The following is a 21,514-nucleotide window of genomic DNA, read 5'->3' as shown; positions in this document are numbered from 1 at the left end:
TCTGTTGCTCAGGCTGGAGTATAGTGGCGCGATCTCACCTCACTGCAACCTCCACCTCCTGGTTTCAAGCGATTCTCCCCCTTCAGCCTCCTGAGTAGCTGGAGACGGAATCTCTGTCACCCAGGCTAGAGTGCAGTGGTGCAATCTCAGCTCGCAGCAACCTCTGCCTCCTGGGTTCAAGCAATTCTACTGCCTCAGCCTCCCGAGTAGCTGGGACTACAGGCATGCATCACCATGCCTGGCTAATTTTTGTATTTTTAGTAAAATCGGAGTTTCACCATGTTGGCCAGGCTGGCCTTGAATTCCTGATCTCAAGTGATCTGCCCACCTTGGCCTCCCAAAGTGCTGGGATTACAGGTATAAGTCACTGTGCCCAGGCTATTGAATGCTTTTTCTGCATCTATTTAGACAATCATGTGGTTTTTGTCCTTAATTCTGTTTATGTGATGTATCACATTTATTGATTTGTATATATTGAACCATCCTTGCATCCCTGGGATAAATCCCACCTGATCATAATGTATTCTCTTTTTGATGTGCTGTTGGATTTAATTTGCTAGTATTTTGTTGAGGATTTTTGTGTCTGTGTTCATCAGGGATATTGGTCTATAATTTTCTTTTTTGGTGGTGTTGTGTCCTTGTCTGTTTGGTACCAAGGTGATAGCGGCCTCATAGAATGAGTTAGGGAGAATTCCCTCCTTGATCTTTTTAGAATAGTTTCAGAAGGATTGGTATTCATTCTTTCTGTGTTTGGTAGAGTTCAGCTGTGACTCCATCAGGTCCTGGGCTTCTTTTTGTTCTTGGGAGATTTTTATTAGTGATTCAGTCTTGCTACTACATTACTGATCTTTTCAGATACTCTGTTTCTTCCTGGTTCAATCTTGAAGATTATGTTTCCATGAATTTATCAGTTTCCTCTGGGTTTTCTAGTTTGTGGACATCTAGTTGTTTATAATAGTCTCTGATGATCTTCTGTATGTCTGTGGTATCAGTTGTAATGTCTCCTTTTTCATTTCTGATTGTGTTTATTTGTATCTCTTCTTGTCTTGTATCTTGTTTATTTGTATCTCTCTTGTCTTCTTAGTCTTAGCTAGTGGTTTATCAATTTTGTGTATCTTTCAAAGAACCAACTTTTCTTTTTTGTTTTTTGAGTCAGGGTCTGGCTCTATCACTCAGGCTACACGGTGCAGTGGCACAATCATGGCTTACTAGAATATTTGCCTCCCAGGCTTAAGCAATCCTCCCACCTCAGCCTTTCAAGTAGGTGGGACTACAGTGCACACTACCATGCCTGGCTAACTTTTGTATTTTTTGTCAAGGTGAGATTTTGCCACATTGCCCTGGCTGGTCTTGAACTCCTAGAATCTCGATCCGCCAGCCTCAGCCTCCCAAAGTGCAGGGATTACAGGCATGAGCCACTGCACCTAGTCCCAACTTTTCATTTTGTTGATACTTTGTATTGTTTTTTGGTCTCCATTTTATTTAGTTCTGCTCTGATCTTTGTTATTTCTTTTCTTCTGCTAACTTTGAGTTTAGTTATTTTTTTTCTTGTTATAGTTTTCGTTATATTTTTCAATGCCTTGAGGTATGGCATTAGGTTGTTAATTTGTGATCTTCCTACTTTTTTATGTAGACATGTAATGCTGTAAACATTAGTAATGCCCTCTTAGCACTGCTTTTGCTGCATCCCACAGGCTTTGGTATGTTGTGTTTTCATTTTTATTTGTTTCCAAAAATTTTTAAGGTCAGGCATGGTGGCTCATGCCTGTAATCCCAGCACTTTGGGAGTCTGAGGTGGGTGGATTGCTTGAGCCTAGGAGTTTGAAACCAGCCTGGGCAACGTGGAAAAACCCCATTTCTACAAAAAAATTAGCTGTGCAGCTGTGCATGGTGGTATGTGCCTGTAGTCCCAGCTACTCAGGAGGCTGAGGCAGGAGTCTCACTTGAGCCAAAGGAGTTTGAGGCTACGGTGAGCCATGATTACACCACAGCCTGGGTGACACAGTAAGACCCTGTCTCAGGGGTCTCAGGGGAAAAAAATCTTCATTAACCCAGTGATTAAGTGATTATTTAGGGGCATGCTGTTTAATTTCCATGTACTTGTATCATTTCTGAAGTTCCTCTTATGTTGATTTCTAGCTTTATTCTACTATTGTCTGAGAAGATACTTGATTTTGATTTTTTAAAATTTGTTAAGACTTGTTTTGTAGCCTAATGTGTGATGTGTGATCTATCTTTAAGAATGTTTCTTCTTCCTTTTTTTTTTTTTTCTTTCTTGAGACAGGGTCTTGCTCTGTTGCCCAGGGTGGAGTGCAGTGGTGTGATCATGGCTTACTGTAGCCTTGACCTCCTAAGGTTAAGCAGTCCTCTCACCTCAGCCTCCTGAGTAGCTGGGACCACAGGCACATACCACCATGCCTGGCTACATTTATTTTTAATCTTATTTTTTGTAGAGACAAAGTCTCCCTATGTAGCCCATGCTTGAAGAATGTTTTATGTGCTGATGAAAAGAACATATATTCTGTAGATGTTGGGAAGAATGTTCTGTAAATGTCTGTTAAGTCTATTTGGTCTAAAGTCCAGTGTTTCTTTGTTAATTTTTTGCCTCGATGGTCTGTATAGTGCTGTGAGTAGAATGTCGAAGTCCCCCACTGTTATTGTGTTGCTATCTATCTCTTTCTTTAGAGCTAGTAATATTTGTTTTGTGAATTTGGGTGGTCCTATGTTGGGTGCATATATATTTAGGATTTGCTGTACCCTTTTGGTGAACTGATCCCTTTATCATTATATAATGACCTTCTTAGTCTTTTTTTTTTTTTTTAACTGTTTTTGATTTAGAGTCTGTTTTATTTGACATATATATAGTTCTCCTTTTGATTTCTTTTTGGATGGAATATCTTTTTCCACCCCTTTACTTTCAGTCTATTTGTGTCTTCACAGGTAAGGTGAGTTTCTTGTAGGTAGCATATAGGTGGATTATGTTTTTTTAATCCATTCTGCCAGTCTGTATCTTTTAAATGAAGCATTTAATGCATTTACATTTAAAGTTAATATTGATATGTGAGGTTTTGTTTCTGTCACATGGTTATTTTCAAGTTATTTTATAAATTCTTTGTTTTCTTTCTTTTTCTCTTTTTGTCCTTGTGTTTTGATGAAATTCTGTAATTTGATTTCTTTCTTTTCCTCTTTTGTGAGATTGTTTTATAAGAACTGTGAGTTTTATATTTCTGGGTATTTTTGTGATGGTGAATATCAGCGTTTTGTTTCCATGTTTAAGACTCCTTTGAGCATTTCCTATAGGGCTGGTCTAGTGGTGACAGATTCCATTAGTATTTGTCTAGGAAAGACTAGTCTCTTTCATTTATGAAGCTTATTCTAGCAGGATATAAAATTCTTGGGTGACAGGGTTTTTTTCCTTCAGCACTTTAAAAATGCTATCCCATTCTCTTCTGGCCTTTAAGGTTTCTGCTGAAAAGTCCACTGTTAGTCTGATGAGGTTTCCTTTATGGGTGACTAGATGCTTTTCTCTTGCTTATTTTAAAATTGTTTCTTTTACTTTCACTTTAGACCTTCTGATTATAGTATGCTATGTTGAAGTCCTTTTTGCAGTGTATTCACCTGGGGGTCATTGGGTCTCTTGTATCTGGATATCTGACACACTTGCTAGACTTGGGAAGCTTTCATTGATTATTTCCTTAAATAAATTTTTCTAAACATTTTAACCTCTCTTCCTGCACAGCCTTTTCTTCACTTCTAATGATGCCACATTGCATTGTGGAAGTCCAGAGTGACAGAATGTATGTTACCTCACACTGAGGTGACATAAAGCATGGAAAGTGATGAGCACCCCTTCAGATTCTGTGGGTTAAATGGCCTTATGCTCTGGCTGCTCTGTTTATTATGGCCAAGGGCTGTGACAAAGGTTTCCTAGCATAGTGCTGAGGGCAGAGGTTTGTGAGCCGCAGAGACTAGAGCTCAAATTACAACCTAACCAGTGTGACTTGGGCAAGTTACCTAATTTTTCTGAGTTTTAACTTCATAGGAATAATTATGCCTGCCTCACCAGGTTGTGAAGATTATGTTTGGTTTTTTGTTTGTTTTGGGTTTTGTTTTTTTGGAGACAGGTTCTAGCTCAGGCCAGAGTGCAATGGTGTATTTTACGTTTGTTTTTTTGTTTTTGTTTTGTTTTTTTGGAGACAGGTTCTAGCCCAGGCTAGAGTACAATGATGTGATCCTCCCACTTTAGCCTCCCAAGTACCTGGGTCTAAAGGATGCAATACCACACCTGGCTGTTTTTTTGTTTTGTTTTTGTTTTTTGTAGAGATGGAGTCCCACTATGTTGCCCAGGCTTGTTTCAAACTCCTGGGCTCAAGTGATCCTCCCACCTCAGCCTCCCAAAGTGCTGGAATTATAGGGTTAAGCCACTGCACCTGGCCAGGAGATTATATTTTAAGATATATTAAGGCATCTAGCATTGTGTCTGGTTTTTCTTCTTTTGGTATCATTACCTAAAAGTTTCCTGACCTCTCTTTAAAACAAGCCTCTTTACAATGTCATATTTGAATAGTGTTAGCCCCTGGCCCAGGTCTCCAGCTGGAGTAAACTAACAGTGACAGGCACCGAGTGACTGGTTTGCCTGTTTCTCTTTCCTCATCCTCACAGTAAGTTTCAGAACCTCTATCCTTCTCCACCTTGTTCTTTTTTTTTAACTTTTATTTTAAGTTTGGGGTACATGTGCAAGTTTGTTATGCAGGTAAACTTGTGCCATAGAAGTTTGTTACACAGATTATTTTGTCACCTATTTATTAAGCCTAGTTAGAACCCATTAGTTATTTTTCCTGATCCTCTCACCCCTCCCATCCTTCACCCATCAGTATGCCCCAGTGTCTGTTGTTCCCTTCTATGTGTCCTGTGTGTTCTCATCATTTAACTCCTACTTGTAAGTGAGAATATGCAGCATTTGGTTTTCTGTTGCTGTGTTAGTTTGCTGAGGATAATGGCCTCCAGCTCCATCTATATCCCTGCAAAGGACATGGTCTCTTTTTTATTATGGCTGCATAGTATTCCATGGTGTATATGTACCACGTTTTCTTTATGCAGTCTACGATTGATGGGCATTTAGGTTGATTCCATGTCTTTGCTATTGTGAATAATGCTGCAATGAGTATACATATGCATGTGTCCTTGTGATATAATGAATTATATTCCTTTGGGTATGTACTCCAGTAATAGGCTTGCTGGGTCAAATGGCAGTTCTCTTTTTAGGTTTTTGAGGAATCGGCACATTGTCTTCCACAGTGGTTGAACTAATTTACACCCCTGCCAGCAGTGTATAAATGTTCCTTTTTCTCCACAACCTCACCAGCTTCTGTTGTTTCTTGACTTAATGACAACCATTCTGACTGCTGTGAGATGGAATCTCATTGTGATTTTGATTTGCATTCCTCTAATTATCAGTCAGTCATGTTGAGCTTTTTTTCCTTTGATTGTTGGCTGCATGTATGTCTTCCTTTGAAAAGTGTCTGTTCATGTCCTTTGCCCACTTTGTAATGGGGCTGTTTGTTTTTTTTCTTGTAAATTTGTTTAGGTTCTTTATAGATGCTGGACATAAAGCCTTTGTCAGATGCCTAGTTTGCAAAATTTTCTCCCATTTCCTAGGTTGTCTGTTCACTCTGTTCTTCACTGTCTTGTTCTTTTGCTGCGCAGAAGCTCTTTAGTTTAATTAGATCCCATTTAAAATTTTTGCTTTTGTTGTAATTGCTTTTGGCATCTTTGTCAGGAAATGTTTGCCCATTCTTATGTCCAGAATGGTATTGCCTAAGTTGTCTTCCAGGGTTTTTATAGCTTTGCAATTAAGTCTTTAATCCATCTTGACTTAATTTTTGTATATGGTATGAGGAAGGGTCCAGTTTCGATCTTCAGCATATGGCTAACCAGTTTTCCCAGCACCATTTATTGAATAGGGAGTTCTTTCCCCATTGCTTGTTTCTGCCTACTTTGTCAAAGATCAGATAGTTGTAGGTGTGCAGCCTTATTTCCGGGTTCTCTGTTCTGTTCCATTGGTCTATGTGTCTGTTTTTGTACCAGCACCATGCTGTTTTGGTTACTGTAGCCCTGTATTTATAGTTTGAAGTCGGGTAGCATGAGGCCTCCAGCTTTGTTCTTTTTGCTTAGTGTTGCCTTGGCTATTCGGGCTCTTTTGGTTCCATATGAATTTTAAAATAGTTTTTTTCTAGTTCTGTGAAGAATGTCATTGGTAGTTTAATAGGAATAGCCTTGAATATATAAATTGCTTTAGGCACTATGACCATTTTAACAGTATTGGTTCTTTCTATCTATGAACATGGGAAAGTTTTCCATTTGTTTGTGTCATCTCTGATTTCTTTGAGCAGTGTTTTGTAGTTCTCCTTGTAGAGATCTTTCACCTCCCTGGTTAGATGTATTCCTTTTTATGGCAGTTGTGAATGGGGTTGCGTTCTTAATTGGCTCTTGGCTTGACTGTTGTTGTTGTATTGGAATGCTGGTGATTTTTGCACATTGATTTTTGTATCCTGAGACTTTACTGAAGTTGTTTATCAGCTGAAGGAGCTTTTGAGCTGAGATCCACCTTGTTCTTTATGAGTCCTTTTGTTGTCATCATAGCTGTTGTTGTTCTGCCTTACTTTTTTAGGTCCTTCTCCCCAAAATTTCTCAAGTTCTGCCTCTGTTCAGTTTTTCAGCCAGCTCGTATGTCATCTGTAGGATGAGAAAACCCTAGCATATTTGGTTTACTTTTTATTCTTTTGTAGCCATTACCCCTCCTCCCCTGTGCAACCTCCTACTCATAAATGGGATAAAAAGGAAGATTTGGTCTTCCCCTTAGCCAGCCAATACAAAGGTCAAATTCAGTTAAATTCCGGGAATCCGCTTAGTGAAGGAGCTAAGCTTGGGGTCAGAGGATAGGGTTTTGGGGTTCTGAATTATTCATTTCTTCACTCTATGACTATGGTATGTTATTCTCTCTTCTGTGAGGTGGTGGGAATACTAATACCCAACTCACAAGGTGTTCTGAGGCTTACATGAGAGCGTCCAGGGTGTTATCCAGAGGTGCTTTATAAATTTAGATGAATGTAGATCTAAATTTCACTCTACTCCTACAAAAGATGGAAGCCAGGCATCTATAACCAGCTCGGAGGACTGCCCTTCCTAGTAAACACTGTTGGATAACATGGCAGTATGTCCTCAATGCAGTCTCACTGATGCTTTGTCTTTATTAGTTCCCTTGAAATTCCCTGACCATCACATACACTCATGTTCAAATGTGATTAGAGAATTGCTTCCAAAACCAAACACTGTTTTCCTTTTCCTTTAGCCTGGGAGTTGATTATTTAGCAAATCGTTTTAATTTCCCTTAGACTGTGCTGCTAGTAGAATAACATCATTCTCATCAGATCAGCAACTGAAGCCAGCTGGCTTAGGAGTACCAAAAGACTATTTAGCCTCCTAAAATTTGCCTGCTCTTCCTTTCATGGTAGCAGCAGATGACCTCACATCTCAAACTGGCAACAAAAGACCAGCTAAGCAACTGCATATTCGAGCAGCAGCCTTTTATAAAGTTTCTAACGCGAGTGGAGAGAAGGGGAACTGTCTGAGTACTCTGGTGTGGGAATAGGTAGATGAGAAATGGGGGAGTTTAGTGATCAGATGGAGAGATAAGCAGGGGCCAAACAAAGACTTTAAAAGCCATGTTAAGGAGTTCAGGGTTTCTTTTGAGGGCAGAGGGAAGTCACCATAGGACTGCCGAAAGACTACCGTAGTTAGAGCATAGAGATCAAATGGAAGGGCAGTAAACCTATTGCGAGGGAGACCAAATAGATATGGCTACAGCCAGTCAGCTGAGGAGTTACAGCAGCCTGAACTCAGGTCATTGCAGTTCAGACAGGAAAGATTTGCCGTGTTTAGAAGGGAACGACTGGGTCTTGGTGACTAAAGGGATATGGGACATGAAGGAGGAGTCAGAACTAACTCCCAGGTTTTTGGCCTGGGAAGCAGTAGAGCCATTCATTCCCTGAGCAGAGGGGGAGGTTGGGCGAGGATGATGAGTTTAATTTTTAAATCCTATTTTTTCCCACCTGACTTTGTGGTCAATCAGAATTAACTCTGGGGACAAATACCTGTTTACCTCTCTAGCTTCAAAAGATTCAACTAAACTAAATTAACAAGACAGGTTCAGTCTTGCTCCTAAAAGGCATGCCTCAGTTGATCCTTACCAGCCTTTTCCGGGAACACAGTAGAATGGATTAGTCATTATCCTCTGCTTCTGATTTCTTAAAACTGAAGCATTTCTTCCATTTGTTGGTATCTATATATTTAAATTAGAAGAACACTGGTGCTCTGTTGCTGATTTGCTTATCACTTAAGCCTGTGAGTTCTTAAAATAAGTTGTACTTTTGCCTCAGAAGAGATTTTCTTTGTCGATATATCTGCTTATGGTTGGAAATGAACTGGAAGGATGTTTTGGGGATACTAATTTTATCAAAGGTCTGAAACGTAAGATTATGGAAAGATAGAGATCTTTCACAGCCTAGCCATATTTCTACCTCACATTGTTTCCTGGAGAGTTTGTCTGTCAGTAGCCCATCTGTTTTAAGATCACACGGGGAGTTCATAGTCTTACGTGTGTATTAACTTCGCTGTAGGTCATGTGAAACAAGCTGGAAATCAGAAGAGAAACCTAAGGAGCCATATAGTGACATAGCTTTCTGCATGCTTCTAAAACAAAATCCTGACTTTAGATTCTAACCAGAATTCATAATGACTAGCTTTAGGTAAATAAGGATCTCTCTACAGGGAATGCATCTAAAGAGATGTTGCATTTTTATCCACTGGGGAAGGAGTGAGCAGAATTCCTAAATCATCATCCTTTCCTGTAGAAAGAGTAAGCTTAATGTAATCTGGGCACAGAGGCTCACACCTGTAATCCTAGCACTTTGGGAGGCTAAGGTGGGAGGATGGCTTGAGGCCAAGGGTTCAAGACCAGCCTGGGCAACAAAGCAAGACCCCATCTCTACAAAAATAAAATAAAATTAGCCGGGCGTGGTGGCATGTACCTGTAGCCCCAGCTACTCAGGAAGATGAGGAGAGAGGATCTCTTGAGCCCAGAAGATCGAGGCTCCAGTGAGCTTTGATTATGCCACTGCACTCCAACCTGGGCGACAGAGTAAAAAAAAAAAAAAAAAAATTGAAGAAAGTAAGCTTAGTGTAGACCAAGTAGAAGTCTATGGATTGTGGACTCTGTGAGGGCAGAGACCATAGCTGTTATCTGTACCAGTATCCCTAGCAACTAGTTCAGTGTCTTGCTTATACAGGTGCTCAATAAATATTTGTTCTATGTGTGACCAAATAAATGAAAGATTCTAAATTTTCTGGTAGTAGGAAATATCTCCATATAGATAGAAAAGTGCAAAAATCATAAATCTGATGAATTTCCACAAAGGGAACACCTCATAGACCTAGTGCCCAGGTAAAGAAATACAGTCATTCCAGTCCCCAGTACCCCTCATGCCCGTCACAGGCATTGCTTCTCCGAGAGTAAGCTCCAGCCTGACTCCCAGTGCCACGGTTCTGTTTTACCCATTTTTTAACCATGTATAAGCATGTCCTCTTTTGTGCCTTTCCCTGTTCATTTATAACATAGGGAGATTCATCGTGTTGGGAGTAGCAGTGGTTCATTTCTGCCCAGTGCAGTATTCTGCTGTGTGAATATACCGCAATGTATCCATTCTACTATTGATGGATACTTGGGTTGTTCCCGCTTGGGACTATTAGAAGTAGTGCTGCTGTGAATATTTTTGTACCTGTCTTTTGGTGGGTGGGTGTATGCATTCCTGTCAGGTATGTACTGAGGGGTAGAATACCTGGATGATAAAGCATGTGACTGTTCAGCTTTAGTAGAAACTGCTAAACAATCGTCCACATTTATACTTGCACTAGCAGAGCTTCTGTTGCAGCACCTCCCTGAATGCCTGTTTAGGTCTTTTTCATTTTAGGCACTCTAGTGGGTGACTAGTGGTACCATATTGATCTTTTAATTTACATTTTCCTCATGACTGAGGAAGTTGAGCATTTTTCATTTGTTTATTTGGATATGCTCTTTTGTGAAGCGTCTATTCTAGTCTTCTGCTCATTTTCCTACTGAGTTGTCTCTTTTGCTTACTGAATTCTCTCTGTAGTCGGGGCACAACTCCATTGTTGGATACATGTGATGTCAAAATCCCCCACTCCGTGGCTTGTCATTTCACTCTCTTTTTTTTTTTTTTTTTTTTTTTTTGAGATGGGGCCTTGCTCTGTGGCCAGGCTGGAGTGCAGTGGCGTGATCTCGGCTCATTGCAACCTCCGCTTCCCGGGCTCAAGCGATTCCCCTGTCCCAGCCTCCTAAGTAGCTGGGACTACAGGCACATGCCACCACGCCTGGCTAATTTTTTGTATTTTTAGTAGAGACGGGGTTTCACCATGTTGGCCAGGTTGGTCTTGATCTCCTGACCTCATGGTCTGCCCGCCTCGGCCTCCCTAAGTGTTGGGATTATGGCTGTAAGCCATGTCATTTCACTCTCTTAATGGTGTCTTTTGGTGAAAAGAAGTTCATAATTTCATGTAGTCCAGTTTATCCATTTTGTTTTCTATATGTTTAGCAGTTTTTTGTGTCCTGTTTAGAAAATTTTTGCCTATTCCAAAATCATGAAATTTAAGTTCTCCACCTCTGTTGAAATTATAATATTAAGGCAGAAAAGACTCTTCATTCTGATCTGTTGGTTCTTAGCCTTTTGCAAGTCCAGGATCCCTGTGAAAATCTGACTAGAACTCTGGACGCCCTGCACAGAAGTGCACCTACGCACACACACAGTAGATTTTCCTGCAGTGTTAGGGAGTTCACAGACACTCAGACTTAATCTGTGGACCCCTTGTTAGAGAACCCCTCATCTATTCCAACCCAGTCATTTTACAGATAAGGAAATTGAGGCCCAGGGAAAGGCCACTGTTAGTTTGTGGCCCACCTGGAACTAGAGTCCAGGTCTCTTGACTCCGATTCTAGTGCTCTTTCTAACAGATTTCCCTGCTGCAGTCTTTCTGAAAATGTCTCACTGGCAGAACCATGAAAGGGAGAATGTTTTAGTCAAGGGAGATTTCTGTCCACTAGCAGCAACAAAAAAAAAAAATGGCTACATGGTGACACTCTTCTACTTTATGTATTTACCTTAAATGTTTAAGATCCAGGAACTGCTTTTTGAAGTTGAGCTGGGAATTATCATGGCCCATGCATCCTCCTCTAGCTGTGACTCAGTGCCCTGGGGTTGCTATATGAACCTTTCCATGTATAACTACCTGTATTCGGCTTGGTCTTTTGGTTGGTTCTGGCTGGAATTTTAAAAACCACCTTATATAATAAGCTTCTAGTCTCAATGCTGAAGTGGGTGGGGTTTACCAGAGTGGTTGCTCCAGGGAGAAAATTAAAAGGGGTGGAGGCAGGGAAAGGAACTCTGAGTTTGTTGACTAGGTTATGTTGGTTTGCAAGTAGTCAGCTGGTAGACAAACGAAGCCAGAGTGTCTGGAAGTATTCATTAATGATTTTACTGCTCCCCTGCCACTGTCTGCAGTGGTCTTTTCCAAGGCTCTAAGTGGACTAAGCAGTTTACAGGTAACAGGGCCAGATATTTTCAAGCCATCACTCAAACCCCAGTGCTAGGCATGTCCAGAGCGAAACCTGTTACCTTGTCGGCATGCTCACCAAAGTGCACTGCCAGGGGTGTGCACTTTACACTCATAGCACAGATCACAGTTTGTGTCTCACAGTGAAAAAGACTGTTCATATCTTTGGGCCACACCCTGAAACACAAACTGAATGATCCCACCCTCAACACAAAGGAAGTTGAGTCCATAATCGCATCCACAGATAGGATACTCTTAGATCTGACAAATAACACCCATTTATTTTATTCCCTTTTTCTTCTTTCCCCTAAGCCCCCGGAGAGCCTTTCTCCAGTTTCATCACACACTCCTGACTAAGTAGATGGGGGTGCTAGGGGGCCAGCTCTCCGAATGAGGCACATTTGTCTTGTCATTTCAAAAGCTTTCACAGAGCACCTGCTGTGTTCTGGGTCCTGTACTAGGTGACAGGGCCACCTAGGTGAACAGGGCAAGGTCCCTGTCCTCAGGAAGCTCCCAGTCCAGGCAGAGGCGTGGGTGAATCGGCCCACACGTACTGCACAGTGTGTTGAGTGAGCACAGATGCTGTGGGGCCACCCTGTGGGTCCAGGGAAGCACTTCCTAGAGAAGAAATCCAAACAGGGATTCCAAGTCAACGAGGCAGAAAGTGATGGGAACAGCATTTGTCATAGTCAGACAGGTGCCTTTCACAGTGACATAGAGACAGTGAGGTGGGGTTGGAATTTAGGCCTGAGAGAACGGGGACCCAGTGGCATACAGAGTCTTATCCTTGTCCTACCTTTTTGAAAGAGCTAAATTCAGAGGCTGCCAATATGTTCATAACTCAAAAGGATCACTTATCCCAATAACTTAGGAACCGTTGGCATCCATAGCCCTAAATCGGAAAATGCCGAAATCAGAATCATTTCCCCCTACATTGATCACAGTGACCTTTAATCACCTTCAGCTCCCTGGTCTCCTAGAGCCACGGGTCAGCCCCTCACTGCCCTCCTCCAAAGACAAGTCTGCTCAGAATGTCACTGAAACTCTGAGCATCCACTCAACAAGCCTCCATCTTCTTACTTTCTCATCTTTTCTCTTTTAGGCCTGAAGAAGTCAGTGATTTATAGTTCACTAAAACTGCACAAAATGTGGAAAGGGTGGCTGAGGAAAACATCCTGATTTTGCTTGCTTTTATATATGTTATGTGTAGATGAATAAAGTGTTTGATCCTTTTTGACAGAACAGTGTTTGTTACTTTGACCCATTGCTTGAATTCAAAGATACCCTGGTTTGCATAATACTTGGTTTTTTAAATGTATGCATCAGACATTTATCCAGTTGGGACCCAAATATATTAGAGGGCTTAGCATCAGAAGAAAAGAACCCTCTCCATGTACAAAGTCATGTGGGTCCTGCAGAATAGCTTTGCCTGTCCTGCATTCTGTAGGTACGTGAGAGTCAGACATGACAAATTTCTTGTATGCTGTCAACACGTAGCCCAGGAAACTTACAGGGTGTGGAAGCTTGACTTTCTCTGCCTGGCTTGTTATGTCTCTAGTCTCCATCCTGTTCACTTGTTTTTTTTCCAGCAGGGGCTCGCAAGTGTCACGTCAACATTTCCCTGGATCTAGGCTTTTCGTGTGTTTCTTTGTTCTCCACTAAAGTGTATGGCAGTGACTTTTGGGTTAGGAGCCTGGAACAGACACCTTGCAGAGCCTGCCTTATTGTAACAGTTAGGACGTGTTTGGGCAACAGGAAACCCACTGCAGAGTGCCTTGAACAACAAAGGACAGAATCATGTACCCCAGTTTCTCTCCATCTCTCTGCCCTCTGCAGTGTTAGCATCGTGCTGAGGCTGGCTTTGCTCTGTCATGAGACTGCTGGCAGCAGCTTCAAGGGCTGTGGGCTTCCAAATCACAACTGGGAGCCACAGAGAAGACTCCTTTCAGATGGCCTCTTAGAAAAGCAAGAAACCTTCCCAACAGCCCCTAGCAAGCCTCTGTCTGGTTTCACGGATGCTGATTGGGTGCCATGCCCATCCCAGAGCCAGTAAATGGACAAAGGATGGAACTAAGCTGATAGGCTCAGGCCTGAGCCACCAGCCCCAGCCCAAGAGGTAACTTCCCTCCCCTCAGGCTCACAGGCTTCAGAGAAGGAGTAGACACTTAAATGGGAATTGAGGAGAAAGAGCTGTTGGGAAGCAACCACCTCCTCCCACCTCATCCACCTAACAAGCTATATGAATCTATTTGATTGAACCTCAGCTTGTCTTTTTTTCCTGCAAATCGTCTTTGTCCCACCTCACACTCTGTATTTGCATTGCCAAGTATTCTAGTGCAGACCCGTAGGCTCTCTTGTACATTTGAATAATTCCTTGTCTACTTATTTTTTGTTTACTATTGAGTTCAGCTCATTCTAACCCATAGCATAGTGAAGAGTGCAGACTTCAGATTCAGCCAAACTGAGTTATATCTCATCGCCACTACTGACCAGATATGTGATTTTGGGCAAGTTATCGAGCCTCTGAATAGTTTCACTGTCTGTGAGATGGAAATAACATTACAGACCTCTTCGAGTTGTGCTGGTCTGTGCACTCACCCCTGTAGAACACCTAGGGTAGCACCTTGTGCCTAGCATTGAGCAAATGGTTGTTGCTGCTGTGGTTCCTTTGTATTATTGGTTTTGTTATTATTTTCTTTTTCTTTTTCTTTCTTTCTTTTTTTTCTTTTTTCTTTTTTGTTTTTTCAAGATGGAATTTCGCCCTTGTTGCCCAGGCTGGAATGCAGTGGCATGATCTTGGCTCACTGCAACCTCCACCTCCTGGGTTCAAGCAATTCTCCTGCTTCAGCGTCCCGAGTAGCTGGGATTACAGGTGGCTGCCACCACGCCCAGCTAATTTTTTCTATTTTTAGTAGAAACAGGGTTTCATCATGTTGGCCAGGCTGGTCTTGAACTCCTGACCTCAGGTGATCCACCCACCTCGGCCTCCCAAAGTGCTGGGATTACAGGCGTGAGCCACTGTGCTTGGCCTATTATTTTCTTCTATAAGCCTTTTTGTTTATTTGTGTAAGTTTTTTCCTTCAGAACCCAAAATAGACTGGGCATGGTGGCTCATGCTTGGAATCCCAGCACTTTGGAAGGCTGAGGCTGGAGAGTTGCTTGAGCCCAGGAATTCAAGAGCAGCTTGGGCAACATAGCGAGAGCACATCACTACAAAAAGTTTTTTTCAAATTAGCTAGATGTGGTGGCACATGCCTGTGGTCCCAGCCACTTGGGAGGGAGGACCACTTGAGCCCAGGAGGTCAAGGCTGCAGTGATCTGTGATTGTGCCGCTGTATTCCAGCCTGGGCGACAAAATGGATTCTCCACTGCTTATACGATACGAATTTTTCCTCAGCCTATTCAAGACCCACTATAATCTGGCTTTATTTTACTTTAACTTCTGTCCTCTGTATCTGATAGAGCTTTTTATATTCCCAAAGTAGATACTTTACCAACTAGATACTCATTGGAGCACAGAACACCAGGGTCACTCTCCAGCTATGGAATCAGGCCTCTGGAGAGGAAGTGACTGCCTGGGGTCCCAACATATGTGAGTAACATTGCTGGGGCTTGAACCCTGGCTTCCAGACTCCAGTGTAGTGCCTTTTCTCACACAGCCTGCAGTTTTCACAAATGATGAATACTTGTGTCTTTGTGTTCCACTGCCCCAGATGTATTCTTCCTTTTCCTCAATCTAAGGTGATTCATCAAAAAGCCATATAAGGAGGAGAGGTAAGACTTTCTCTGAGGGAAGTGGAACTCTTCGGGAGTAAGTAGCTCTTCTCATTCCAGAAGGCTCAAGAAATAAATGTACTTTGGTGTCACACCTGGAGTTGGTTCTCAACTCTTTCCAGCTGTGTCCTTGGTCAAGTTGCTTAACCCTTCTGAACCTTAGTTTCTATATCTATGATGTAGGTATTCTTATACCCATCTGTCAGGTTTGGTGTTAGAATTAAATGACATAACGTAAATTACCTAACGTGGTTCTTGGCACATCATGATAGTATCTCTGCTATCCAGTTCAGATGGTGAGTTTAGATGGCATGGGATAGTCCCTCATATATTAGTCAGTCTAGTCAAGAAAATGGAAACAACCCTAAGTATATCAAATAGAAGGAATTTAATATAGGGAATTTGTTAGAAAGATGTTGGGAGGCTGGGAAACAAAAAAGAAGGGGTATCCTGGAGGAGGAAGAAGGGATGACGTGGAGAGAATCTGCACATCAGGACGCTGCTAACATCCCTGGACTGGAACTTACAAGCCCACACCTGCTGCTGTGTTGCTGGAGATGCTCCCTGTAGCGGTTTCAAAATATGTTCACAAATTCTTTGGCCCACCTCCTAGCAGTAGCATTCATTTTCCCTCCTTGAATGTCGGTGGGCCTTAGTGACTTGCTTCTAACAGGTAGAATATAACAGATGAGATGCTCTATGACTTCCAAGGCTAGGTCCTAAAAGGTGACACAGCTTCCTTCCGGCTCTCTCTCAGGACACTTGGCTTGCAACCCAGCCGCCATGTTGTGAGGGTGCCCAAGCCACTGGGAGAGGCCACATGGAGGTGTTCTGGCTGATGTCCAACATCAATTGCCAGACAAGTGAGTGAGCAAGCCTTTAACTCCAGCCCCAGCCACTGTGACTATGACAGAACAAGAGAGCCCAAGCAGGACCTGCCTAGCCAAGCCCAGTCAGCTTTTGGAAGTGTGAGGGAGAATAAGAAAATGATCATTGTCATTTAAAGTCATTGAGTTGTCCAGGCGTGGTGGCTCACACGTGTAATCCCAGCACTTTGGGAGGCTGAGGTGGGAAAATCGCTTGAGCCCAGGAGTTCAAGACCAGCCCAGGCAACATAGTGAGACTTCCGCATCTCTACAAAAACTTTAAAATATGGTAGCACACACCTGTAGCCCCAGCTACTCAGGAGGTTGAGGTGGGAGGATTGCTTGAGCCTAGAAGGTTGAGGCTGCAGTGAGCTGTGATTGTGCCACTGCACAATCTAGTCAAGAAAAATGAAAACAACCCTAAGTATAATAAATAGAAGGGGCTGGCTGCAGTGGCTCACGCCTGTAATCCCAGCACTTTGGGAGGCTGAGGCGGGTGGATCACGAGGTCAGGAGTTCGAAACCAGCCTGGCCAACATGGTGAAACCCCATCTCTACTAAAAATACAAAAATTAGCCAGGTGTGGTGGCTCATGCCTGTAATCCCAGCTACTCAGGAGGCTGAGGCAGGAGAATTGCTTGAACCTGGGAGGTGGAGGTTGCGATGAGCCAAGATCGTGCCACTGTACTCCGGCCTAAGTGACAGAGCAAGATTCCATCTCAAAAAATAATAATAATAATAATAATAATAATAATAAAATTAAATAAATAAATAAATAAATAAATGGAACTTAATGTAGGGATTTTGTTACAAAGATGTTGGGAGGGCTGGCAAACAAAAAAGAAGGGGTACCCTGGAGAAGGAAGGATTACGTGCAGAGAAGCTGCACATCAGGAAGCTGCTAACAGCCCTGTATTGGAACCTACAAGCCCACACCAGCCTGGGCACCAGAGCGAGACTCTGTCTCTCAAAAAGATTAAAAAGTCATTAAGTTTTCAGAAGACTTGTACACAGTTCAGAAGACTTGTACACAGCATTAGATACTGTATACAAGTCCTCTGAAAACTTATGCCTTTGCCACTGCTAGAGCTGCCAGAGTCACCACCACTGCCCAGATGCCACTTGGGCCAGGCACGGTGGCTAACACCTGTAATCCCAGCACTTTGGGAGGCCAAGGTGGGTGGATTGCTTGAGCTCAGGAGTTTGAGGCCCGCCTGGACAACATAGTGAGACCTCATCTCTACAAAAAGTAAACAAAAAATTAGCTGGGAGCAGTGGTGCGCACCCGTGGTCCCAGCTACTTGGGAGGCAGAGATGGCAGAATCACCTGAACCCCGGGAGGTCAAGGCTGCAGTGAGCGGAGATCGTGGCACTGCACGCCAGCCTGGGTGAGAGAGCGAGACTCTGACTGAAAAAAACAGGCTGGGCACGGTGGCTCACACCTGTAATCCCAGCATTTTGGGAGGCCGAGGTAGGTGGATGACGAGGTCAAGAGATCAAGACCATCCTGGCCAACATGGTGAAACCCCATCTCTACTAAAAATACAAAACTTAGCTGGGCATGGTAGGGGGTGCCTGTAGTCCCATCTACTCAGGAGGCTGAGGCAGGAGAATCACTTGAACCCAGGAGGTGGAGGTTGCAGTGAGCCAAGATTGCGCCACTGCACTCCAGCCTGGTGACAGAGCAAGACTCCATCTCAAAACAAAACAAAACAAAAACAAAAACCAGATGCCACTTGACAACCACCAGTAACTGCTGCTGCAGTTGCAGACAAACCCAGGAACTTCTCTTCCTCCTATCTTCTGATCTGACACCACGGTCTCCAATCAGCAAAACCTAATAGAAAGCCAGCTGGTGAGAAACCTGGGCAACATAGTTTGCAGGCTCCTACCCAGCAGTAGAGAGTGGAGTACAGAGGAATGGCCGAGCTCACCAGAGAAACACCTCCCTGTGGTGACTGAGCATCCAGATCCACCCTTCAATCATATGTAAATTTCCATACACCAGCAGCAGCTTCCTGTTTCCACCCAACGTGATGCAGCTATCCTTTGTACAAAAGAAAATGCTCTCAAATTAGCCAGGGGTGGTGGCGGGCACCTGTAGTCCCAACTACTTGGGAGGCTGAGGCTGGAGAATCACTTGAACCCGGGAGGCGGAAGTTGCAGTGAGCCACGATTGCGCCACTGCACTCCACCCTGGGGGACAGAGCGAGACTCCTCCTCCTCAAAAAAAAAAAAAAAAAAAAAGAAAAGAAAAGAAGTGTTCTCACTTTTCTGGCAGGAAAGAGTAAACAAAGTCCCTACAGTTACTGTATTCATCTGTGGGTGATGTTAATGCCTCTTTTAATTAGAATCCCAACTGGATTTTGTATAATTTAGAAACTAGCCTATAACATTAACCACCACCCACTCTCCTCATAGAAAATAGTTGAAGGGAAGGGGTTAAAAATACCCGTGTGCCTGTCCGTGAGTATGTATATACACATTACCACGCAAGGAAGGAAATATGCCTACCTTTTTTGTTTTGGTTTTGGTTTCTTTTGTTTTTTGAGACAGAGTCTTGCTCTGTTGCCCAGGCTGGAGTGCAGTGGCACGATCTTGGCTCACTGCAACCTCCACCTCCCAGGTTCAAGTGATTCTCCCACCTCAGCCTCCTGAGTAGCTGGGATTACAGGCTCACACCACCACACCTGGCTAATTTTTTGTATTGTTAGTAGAGACAGGGTTTCACCATGTTGACCAGCTGGTCTCAAACTCCTGAACTCAAGTGATCTGCCCTCCTCGGCCTCCCAAAGTGCCAGAATTACAGGCATGAGCCACCACATCATTTTTTAAAAAGGTTATGATATCACAGTAGATACGGCATCTTTCTCCCTTTACTCATTCTGTGTTCCTGTTGCCCTCAGCCTGTACTTCATTTGGGCAGAGTTCCTTACCTGGTTGGGGCCCAAATCTCCACTACTGAAGAGCTGTCCCTATGGGTCCTGTCTGTATCGGGTTGTTGTAGTCTTTAACTTTTATTGAACATGGTTCCACATTTTACATTTTGAGTAATGAGAATTTGATAGTGCTTACTATTTGGAGCAATGTTTCTTGTATTAACTCATTCATCCTTACACAACCCAATAAGGCAAATACTATTATTCTAACTTTACAAATCAGGAAACAGGCTCAAAGAGGTTAAGTACCTTGCCTAAAGTCACACAGCTAGTTAAGTGGTAGAACCAGGATTCAAGCCCATGTTTGAATGGTCTGAATCCGGTCTCAGTGCTCTTAACCACTGCTCAGTCATCATGGGCAGGTGTTTCTCTATACCATACCACAGCTAAGCACACAATAGGTGCCCAGTAAATGGTAGCTGTTATTGTTGATATTACTGCCATTTGATAACTGTCTCTTGGAGTTATGAATCTTATACTCACTTATAAAAATAACCAGTTGACTAAACAATGCCTGGCAAATGACATCGTCCTGATTTGTGGCTAGAATTCCTTAAAACATTGTTTCAGAATTTACAACTATCTCATGAAAAGTCTGATTCCTAAAAGAGAGCTTGTCTCCAGGTTGCTTGCCCTGGCTTCTAATCCTAACATTTCCCTTTATTAGCCAGGTGATCCTGGGAAAAGCTTTGGATTTGGTGACCAAAGGTGGCTAGTCATACCCCCCAGGTCAGCTCTGTCACAGATTAGCCAGGTGATGTTGGGCTTTATGGTTGAGCCAGGTGATGTTTGGAGCTGATGGTTGAGTTTCCTCACTGTGCTCCAAAATCATCAGTCCCTGGGAGACTGGAGAAAAAGTGGTTTGGCAAAACCATAAATGCAAGAAAGCCCAGCACTGATGAGCTGCCTCTGCCCACAAGTGCAATAATATCAGAGCCCAAGTGACCACTAAATGAGAGTCAAAATAGCCATGTGCTCAGTGAGATTCTTTTATACTCTGGCACATAAGCAGGACTTTAGAAAGGAGAAGCTCTTGTCCAGCACCCTCGGGGTTGCTGAGGGTCTCCATGGCCAGAGGCCTGGTCTGCAGCTCCAGCTGAATCATGGATCCTTACTCCTTTGAGGCTCTCCATTGCAGTGAGTCTTCAAGCTCCGAGTCCTACCTGAGCCCTGTCCCTCCAAAACACCCTCAGTGAGCTAGAGGACACACAGGACTGAATCTCATCAGATGCTGCATTAAACTAAGGGAAGATGCTCATTGACTCAGGCACTCTGTCCCACCAAAAAATCACTGAGCTTGAACCCACAGAAAAGTCCATGCCCCAAACTCCAACCGTGTGGGGAGGAATAAAGGAGTAAACTAAAGTTTCACAGGCACAGGCCATTATCTGTGAAAGTACTTTGAACTAGTGGACTGTATAAAAATGGAGAAAACCTAAGGTTTATGGAAGGCCTATGATTTATAGAAGGTGTAATATGTAAACAGCCTCACTTAATCCTTATCCTACTCCTACAACGTAGATACGATCCCACTTTTTTTTTCTTTTTTTTTTTTTTTGAGACAGGGTCTCATTCTGTCACCCAGGCCGGAGTGCAGTGGCACAATCTCAGCTTACTGCAGCCCTGACTTCCTGGGCTCAGGCCATCCTACCACCTTAGCCTCCCAAGTAACTGAGACTATGGGCACGCACCACCACCCCTGGCTAATTTTTTGTGTTTTTAGTAGAGATGGGGTTTCACCATGTTGCCTAGGCTGGTCTTGAGCTGCTGGGCTCAAGTGATCCATCCACCTTGGCCTCTTAAAGTGCTAGGACTACAGGTGTGAGCCACCACACCCAGCCCAACTTTTAAAAAAAAATTTTACAACCAAGAAAACAGGATTACAGAGGTTAATTTAGCCCCATAGTGGGATTTGAATTCAGTTCTGTATGACTCAAAAATGCATTCACTTTCCAGTATCACACCCCATCTTTGGGCCATGCCTGCAGGATGTGGGTTGTTCTCTCCATGTGTATCCAGGTGATCTGACCCATGATTATTTTCAGCCATCACTGGCCATGCAGCTAAAGACACCTGGTGTCATTGCTTTCTTTTCTCTGTTCCTTCTGAGATGAAGTGGGACCATAGAAAATTCCTTCCTAGAATGAGCTACATCAGAAGAGATGATACATGCATGATATGTCAGAATTAATAGGAAACTTTAAAACCATCTAAACTCCTTCACCTTACCGGTGGGATGAGTCAACCCAG

General features: G+C 43.1%; 1 protein-coding gene across 13 annotated transcripts in view, besides 1 other annotated feature; it reads left to right on the top strand.

The window, feature by feature from the left end:
• TAMM41 (TAM41 mitochondrial translocator assembly and maintenance homolog) overlaps positions 1 to 21,514 on the top strand; it is a 124,990-nt gene that overhangs the window by 43,517 nt on the left and 59,959 nt on the right. For 12 of the 13 annotated variants that reach the window (NR_135611.2, NR_158711.1, NR_158710.1 and 9 more), the window contains one exon: positions 12,788 to 12,927. The exons of the other annotated variant lie outside the window; for it this stretch is intronic. Coding sequence is in view for 4 of the 12 variants with exons in the window: in NM_138807.4 (NP_620162.1) it covers positions 12,788 to 12,864 (77 nt within the window). In the remaining 8 variants the exon portion in view is untranslated. Of the gene's footprint in view, positions 1 to 12,787; positions 12,928 to 21,514 lie in introns of those variants that run through there. 13 annotated transcript variants of the gene reach the window in all.
• Positions 17,645 to 18,200: an enhancer, noted in NCBI's record as "H3K27ac-H3K4me1 hESC enhancer chr3:11826643-11827198 (GRCh37/hg19 assembly coordinates)". NCBI's record gives its function as "activates a minimal SCP1, AML or CMV promoter by ChIP-STARR-seq in primed H9 embryonic stem cells {active_cell/tissue: H9 hESC(primed)}" and the evidence as "EXISTENCE:reporter gene assay evidence [ECO:0000049][PMID:30033119]".

Source organism: Homo sapiens, chromosome 3, assembly GCF_000001405.40.
Source record: "Homo sapiens chromosome 3, GRCh38.p14 Primary Assembly".
Classification (NCBI taxonomy): Eukaryota; Metazoa; Chordata; class Mammalia; order Primates; family Hominidae; genus Homo; species Homo sapiens.
Note: the sequence above shows the minus strand (reverse complement) of the source record. Positions and strands in the feature narration are given on the sequence as shown.